Raw genomic sequence first — 8,311 nt, 5'->3', positions numbered from 1 at the left:
TGGAAACTTAGCAGAGGCCCAGTTCCACCACTCTGCCTGTCCGACCTCCAACAAATCACCTGAACACCAGAAGCCTCCGCCCCACAGTGTGGGTCACACCTGCCCTTCCTCCCTGTTCAAGAAGTCAATGAGACCTGATACCTAAACTTCAAGGGGCAGGTCGCTAATAATATCTAACTTTTTTTTTTTTTTTTTTTTTGAGACAGAGTCTCACTCTGTTGCCCAGGCTGGAGTGCAGTGGCGTGATCTCAGCTCACTGCAACCTCCACGTCCTGGGTTCAAGCGATTCTCCTGCCTCGACCTCCCGAGTAGCTGGGATTACAGGCACCTGCCACCACACCCAGCTAATTTTTTGTATTTTTAGTAGAGATGGAGTTTCACCATGTTGGCTAAGCTGGTCTCAAACTCCTGACCTCGTGATCCACCCGCCTCGGCCTCCCAAAGTGCTGGGATTACAGGCGTGAGCCAATACGCCCGGCTAATATCTTTTAAATTTTCATGTGCTTTATTGAGGTATGATTGGCAGACAATACACTGTGAATATTTAAGCATGATATCTTTCCTAAATAATCATAGTAGCATTGAAGTTTTCGTGTGTGGGGCAATGTTTCCCTGAATACCTATATTTGAGCCTTGGAGATTATCCTCCAGACTGAAATGTTGGTTGTTGTTCTGTCTTCCTCTGTCCCGAGAGCCCACACATTTTCCAACTCTTCTCTTGATGGATTCGGGTTGGGTGTTGCTAGATTTCTGTCTTATCACACAAACAGTATGAGCAGGAATTGTCTCTCCTGTCCCAGAAGGAAATAGTTCCAACTTATTCACAAAATTCCAGTCTCCGGGTTACAAGAAAACTTTGAATCCGTCCCCTGCTCACACCTCCCGCCTTCCCACAACACCTGCCAAATACTCTCCGCACCCAGCCCTCCAGCTTGGATCCTAGGCTTGAGCGCCTCTGAGTGACCCAGGCAGGAAATGCGTCCCGGTGCTGTGTCAGCAGCTGCCAGGTGCGGGGCGCGGCCCGCGCGGATGCTGACCCCGTGGCGCCGAAGCAGGTGCTGCCCATTCTTGTTAACACCGTGAAGCAGGTGCCCCTTCTGAGCATTTCCTTCAAGATGGCCGAGACCTCTCCAAGGTGATCGGCATCGTCCCACCTTCTGCTCGAGCTGTCTTTCAAGGCCGGTGTTATCCCTGCTTACAAGTGAGGCTGGGATTGCTGGTTCGTGGCTGATCTTCCTCCATCCCTCTTGCCCTGCAAGTTTATCTTACGAACCAAGGTAAGAAGGGATTCTAGGGACAAGGCAGGGCAAAAGCTGGAGGCGGTGTGTGTGAAGGTGGAAGGGGCAGGGAGATTATGGATTTGGGATGTTGGTGAGCCTGATTCCATTTCAGCGGGATACCCCACACGCCAGGGGTTTTTGTTGGATTTTGCCACCGGAAGGTCCGATTCCACTCCTCCCTTTCAGTAGGTAACTAAAGAGCCAGGTATGGCTGGCCCCGAGGCTGTGGTGGAAACAGGCAAGGTCAGGAGGTGAGTGGTCCCCGGTCTTCAGAGTTTGTCCATGAAGACAAGCCACCTATCATGCATGGTACCTGCTGGGAGGCAGGTGTTGACACCGCTGTGGATGCTAATGTTGCTGCCTGGTCAAGGGGAGACCTCAGACTCAGGCTGGCCACCTTCCCAGCCAATTGCATGTGTGGCAGGTATCGACCCCCACGGGTGGCTAAACAGGCGTGACATCCTTCACGCCAGGCCTGGAGGTTCAGAGGAGGTTATCACACGTGTTGCAAGATGATGGGTCCATGCTGCGGCTTCTTGTTTTTCTGAGAGAACAGAGGTGACTGGGCCTCCCAGGGTCTGAGCCGGGCTGCTTACCGACACCCCCAGGGGAGCTCTTACAAACTATCAGCAGCACGCAAGCCTTTCTCTGCTATGCTGGCAAATCGCCCTTGTGTGTGGTGTCCATGACTTTGAGGCTTAGCAAATATGTACCGCCTACACACAATTCTGTCTACATCACAGAAAACTTTATGTGACTGTATAATCTTCCTTTGGAAAAACAGATATAACTTATGTACTACAAAATCCACCATTTTAAAGCATACTACAATTCAGTGGGTTTTAGTATATTCAGAAGGTCGTGCCACCATCACCACTAATTCCAGAATATTTTCATCACCCTCAAAATACATCCCGCCTTTGGAATGGAGATCAGGGTCAAGGTAGACACTTCCCTGTATGCATGGGTGATGATGATAGTGGTATCAGTAGCTATTAATATCATTGAGCACTTACTGTATACCGGCCACTGTGCTGAATGCTTTACATATGCCTGTTCATACGTATGCCTGTTCATGCAATATGAATACATATTTCACTCAGTCTTGTTACATACCAAATAGGTGAGCAATGTTGGTATCCTCACTTTATTAAGAGAACGGAGGCACAGAGATCGAGAGAGAAGCCTGCATCCATGGGGTTTGATCCCAGGAGATGCGTACTGACTCTATGGGTCTCTCCGCTGACTTTATGGGTCTGTTCCCTGTAGAGTTTAGAAAGATCTCCCTATGCCTAGAGAGGCCCATTGTAGCTGGCTTTTCTTTTTTCCAGTTTATTAGTTTGTTTGTTTTTTTAAAGATTGTGATTAAAATGTATATAACATAAGACTTATCATTTCGATCTTTTTAAGTGTACAATTATGTGGCATTAAGCAGTGATATGGTTTGATCTGTGTCCCCGCCCAAATCTCATGTCAAATTGTAATCCCCAATGTTGGAGGAGGGGCCTGGTGGGAAGTTATCGGATCTTGGGGGCTGATCTCCCCCTTGCTGTTCTTGTGATAGTGAGTGAGTTCTTACACAATCTAGTTGTTTAAAAGTGTGTAGTACCTCCACCTTCATTCTCTTTCTCCTTGCCTGGCTGTGTAGGACGTGCCTGCTTCCCTTCGCCTTCTGCCAGGATTGTAAGTTTCCTGAGGCCTCCCCAGCCATGCTTCCTGTACAGCCTGTGGAACTGTGAGTCAATTAAACCTCTTTCCTTTATAAATTACCCAGTCTCAGGTTTCTTTATAGCAAAGCAAGAAGGGACCCATACAAGCACATTTACAATTTCATGTAAGTATCACCACTACCCATTTCCAGAGCTTTTTCTTTTTATTTATTTATTTATTTATTTATTTATTTATTTTATTTATTTATTTTTTTAATTGATCATTCTTGGGTGTTTCTCGCAGAGGGGGATTTGGCAGGGTCATAGGACAATAGTGGAGGGAAGGTCAGCAGATAAACAAGTGAACAAAGGTCTCTGGTTTTCCTAGGCAGAGGACCCTGCGGCCTTCCGCAGTGTTTGTGTCCCTGGGTACTCGAGATTAGGGAGTGGTGATGACTCTTAACGAGCATGCTGCCTTCAAGCATCTGTTTAACAAAGCACATCTTGCACCACCCTTAATCCATTTAACCCTGAGTGGACAGAGCACATGTTTCAGAGAGCACAGGGTTGGGGGCAAGGTCACAGATCAACAGGATAAGAATTTTTCCTACTACAGAACAAAACGAAAAGTCTCCCATGTCCACCTCTTTCTACACAGACACGGCAACCATCCGATTTCTCAATCTTTTCCCCACCTTTCCTCCCTTTCTATTCCACAAAACTGCCATTGTCATCATGGCCCGCTCTGAATGAGCTGTTGGGTACACCTCCCAGACGGGGTGGTGGCCGGGCAGAGGGGCTCCTCACTTCCCAGTAGGGGCGGCTGGCCGGGAGGGGGGCTGACCCCCCCACCTCCCTCCCGGACGGGGCGGCTGGCTGGGCGGGGGGCTGACCCCCCCACCTCCCTCCCGGACGGGGTGGCTGGCCGGGCGGGGGGCTGACCCCCTCACCTCCCTCCCGGACGGGGCGGCTGGCCGGGCGGGGGGCTGACCCCCCCACCTCCCTCCCGGACGGGGTGGCTGCTGGGCAGAGATGCTCCTCACTTCCCAGACGGGGTGGCTGCCGGGCGGAGAGGCTCCTCACTTCTCAGACGGGGCGGCTGCCGGGCAGAGGGGCTCCTCACTTCTCAGACGGGGCGGCTGCTGGGCAGAGGGGCTCCTCACTTCTCAGACGGGGCGGTTGCCAGGCGGAGGGTCTCCTCACTTCTCAGACGGGGCGGCCGGGCAGAGACGCTCCTCACCTCCCAGACGGGGTCGCGGCCGGGTAGAGGCGCTCCTCACATCCCAGACGGGGCGGTGGGGCAGAGGCGCTCCCCACATCTCAGACGATGGGCAGCCGGGCAGAGACGTTCCTCACTTCCTAGATGGGATGGCGGCCGGGAAGAGGCGCTCCTCACTTCCTAGATGGGATGGCGGCCAGGCAGAGATGCTCCTCACTTTCCAGACTGGGCAGCCAGGCAGAGGGGCTCCTCACGTCCCAGACGATGGGCGGCCAGGCAGAGACGCTCCTCACTTCCCAGACGGGGTGGCGGCCGGGCAGAGGCTGCAATCTCGGCACTTTGGGAGGCCAAGGCAGGCGGCTGGGAGGTGGAGGTTGTAGCGAGCCGAGATCACGCCTCTGCACTCCAGCCTGGGCACCATTGAGCACTGAGTAAACCAGACTCCGTCTGCAATCCCGGCACCTCGGGAGGCCGAGGCTGGCAGATCACTCGCGGTTAGGAGCTGGAGACCAGCTCGGCCAACACAGCGAAACCCCGTCTCCACCAAAAAAATACGAAAACCAGTCAGGTGTGGCGGCACGCGCCTGCAATCACAGGCACTCGGCAGGCTGAGGCAGGAGAATCAGGCAGGGAGGTTGCAGTGAGCCGAGATGGCAGCAGTACAGTGCAGCTTCTGCTCGGCATCAGAGGGAGACCATGGAAAGAGAGGGAGAGGGAGACCGTGGAAAGAGAGGGAGAGGGAGAGGAGGGAGAGGAGGGAGAGGAGGGAGAGGAGGGAGAGGAGGGAGAGGGAGAGCTTTTTCTTTATAGCAATGTAGAATGGACTCCTACAAGCACATTTACGATTTCATGTAACTATTACCACTACCTATTTCCAGAACTTTTTCATCATTCCAAACTGAAACTCTGGACCCATTAGACACCAACCTCTCCCAGCCCCTGCTAACCTATTCTACTTCTCTATGAATTTGCTTATTCTACATATCTCCTGTAAGGGGTATTGTACAATATTTTTCCTTTTGGGTCTGGCTTATTTCACTTAGCATAATGTTTTCAAAATTTGCTCATTTGTAGGATTCTCAGAATTGCGTTTCTTTTTATGGCTGAATAATGCTCAATTCCTTTTTGTGGCTGAATAATTGTATATGTGTACACCACTTTGTTTATCCACTCATTTGTGGATGGACACTTGAATTGTTCCTACCACTTGGCTACTGTGTGTGTACAGGTACTTGCCTGGGTCCCTGTTTTCAATTCTTCTGGATATACGTAGGTGTGAAATTGCAGGGTCATATGATAATTCTACATTTAGCTTTTTGAGGAACCACCACATTTTCCATCACAGCTACACCATTTACGTTCCCATCAGCAATGCCCGAGGGTTCCAATTTCTTCACATCTTTGCCAACACTTGTTATTTTTCATTTTTTGATAATAATCATTCTACTGGGTGTGAAGTGGCACCTCATTGTGGTTTTAATTAGCATTTCCCTAATGGCGAATGACGTTGAGAGTATAGCTGACTTATTTTCAAAGGCCACAAAATGGAGATGAGATGTGTGTTTTGGGGCACAAGGAGTTATCTGGTACAGAGGGGGCCGATGTGGTAATGAGCAAACACATTCATCTGGGCCAAGTTTTTCTCTTTATTTGTGAATTTTCTGATCCAGTGTTCTCAGCCTTGGCTGCCTGTCAGAATCACCAGGGGAGGTTTTAAACTATGGAGGCCAGCTGCACCCCCAGGGTGTCTGCTATGAGCTGTCCAGGTAGGGCCTCCATTTGTCCCATTGCAGGGGTGGCTCGGCTCTAATTTTTCATGAAAAAAGTATGAGAGACGCTAAACCTCGTGTTTTTTCATTTAAAAAATTCTCTAAAACGTTTACTTATTTTAAGCATTCGTTCTGTAATTACTGTTTTGTAGACTTATACCCACTGAGAGACTTGAGTGTCTCTGAAAATCATCGCAAAACAGCACTTGAACTTAGGCCTGACTCCTCCTTTGCTGTGCCCCTTTCCCCACTCTTTAGAACGTCAGACAAAGCTCATTAATTTTGTGCAACAGCAACCAGGACTGAGATCTCCTCTTGCTGGTGATGGTGGCTGCCCCTGCTTCGTTCCCTGACTCACTCTTATCACACCTCCATAAGGCTTGACCTGCTCTAGATGCCGCCAAGCCCTCTGCCAGGAGGTCAGAAGGGACGTCTGGTAGGGCTGCAGAGATAGAGAAACCAGAATGCACCTGGCCTCTGGGAGTTCAGTCAGGGGAAGCAAAGGAACCAGCTCCTATATAAATTATTACAATGCACGCCAAATTTGATGTTTCTCAAAGTGTGGGAGGTGTACCTGTATGTAATGGGAAATTGTATTAGGTAGACACGGCATTAACAACACTGAGTCACCAAAGGACAAAGTTATTCCCTTTTCAATTATCTTTTAAGCCTTCAGAGAAAGCAAGCAGAAAGTCTTAGTTTGGAGCTAATAAGTCTTTAACACCTCTCTTCAATCACACCTCCTTTTAAAAAAAAAAAAAAGCAAGCAGACAGACTCAAGTCTCCAGCTGTAATAGTATCAAACCAGAAATTGGCAACATTGCTCTGCTTTCATGGTATTTATTTTTTAGTTGGCTTCTAATTAGCTGGTCTCACTGATATTTTTTCCCCATTTATCACTGTGATATAAAGTTTACTTCTAGGCCAGGCGTGGTGGCTCATGCCTGTAATCCTAACACTTTGGGAGGCTGAGGCAGGTGGATCACTTGAGGCCAGGACTTTGAGACCATCCTGACCAATATGGTGAAACCCCGTCTCTATTAAAAATAAAAAAGCTAGCCAGGCATGGTGGTGCATGCCTGTAATCCCAGCTACTCGGGAGGCTGGGGTAGGATAATCCCTTGAACTCAGGAGGCCAAGGTTTCGGCGAGCTGATGTCACACCACTGAACTCCAGCCTGGGTGACAGAGTGAGACTCTGTCTCAAAAAAAAAAAAAAACTTACTATTGTTTATTTATTTTTGAGACACAGTCCTTCTCTGTCACCCAGGCTGGAGCACAGTGGTGCAGTCACAGCTCACTGCAGCCTCAACCTTCCAGGCTCAAGCAATCCTCTCATCTCTGCCCCCTCAAGTAGCTGGGACTACAGGCATGCGCCACCATCCCTGGCGTGTGTGTGTGTGTGTGTGTGTGTGTGTGTGTTTATTTTTTGTAGAGACATGGTCTTACTATGTTCCCAGGCTGGTCTCAAACTCCTGGGCTCAAGTGATCCACCCACCTTGGCCTCCGAAAGTGCTGGGATTATAGGCATGAGCTACTGTGCCCTGTCAAAAGTTTACTTTTAAAATAAACCCATTTAAATTTGTTTTAAAAAGTGAGTTCGTTTGAAGGAACAGGATAAACGACCAGTAGAGCAGGTGGCCAGCAGATGTGGCATAAATCACATAGGTGGTATCCAAATGACCCTGGGAGAGGCGTGGGCATGTGCTTCAGGGATTGAGGGAGCTCCCAACTTGTCACACAAGAAGTAGTATGTCATCACAGAATGATGACTAACAATTTATAGATGGAAGGGACCTTAGAGATCCTAGGCGCAACTTTAGCAGGTGAGGGAAACTGAGGCTCTGAAGTGTTGAGGGTCTGCGGCCAGGTGCGAAGGCTCATGCCTGGAATCCCAGCACTTTGGGAGGCCAAGGTGGGTGGATCATCTGAGGTCAGGAGTTAAGACCAGCCTGACCAACATGGTGAAACCCAGTCTCTACTAAAAAAAAAAAAAAAAAAAGAAAAATTAGCCAGGTGTGGTGGTGCACACCTGTAATCTCAGCTACTTGGGAGGCTGAGGCACAAGAATCACTCGAACCCGGGAGGCAGAAGTTGCAGTGAGCCAAGATGGTGCCACTGCACTCCAGCCTGGGTAATAGAGTGAGTTTCTGTCTCAAAAATGAATGAATGAATGAATGAATGAATGAATGAATGAAGTGTTGAGAGTCTGGGGAAACACAGGTGTCAGTGGGAGAACCAGCACAGGACTCTGGCTGTGCAACCCCGCATGGATCACCCCAGTCCCTGCTATCTCACTGCCTGTCACAGCTTGTGCTATGTCACAGGACACTTCTCTTTCAGCAGCTGACTCAATACAATAGTACATTTTGCTTCCAGAAATGTGAATAATGAG

General features: G+C 49.4%; 1 annotated feature.

The window, feature by feature from the left end:
• Positions 8,152-8,311: an enhancer, noted in NCBI's record as "active region_10846". NCBI's record gives its function as "activates an Ori minimal core promoter by ATAC-STARR-seq in GM12878 lymphoblastoid cells {active_cell/tissue: GM12878}" and the evidence as "EXISTENCE:reporter gene assay evidence [ECO:0000049][PMID:35858748]".

Source organism: Homo sapiens, chromosome 16 (genome assembly GCF_000001405.40).
Source record: "Homo sapiens chromosome 16, GRCh38.p14 Primary Assembly".
In the NCBI taxonomy this organism is placed as follows: Eukaryota; Metazoa; Chordata; class Mammalia; order Primates; family Hominidae; genus Homo; species Homo sapiens.
This window is presented reverse-complemented; position numbering and strand designations above follow the sequence as displayed.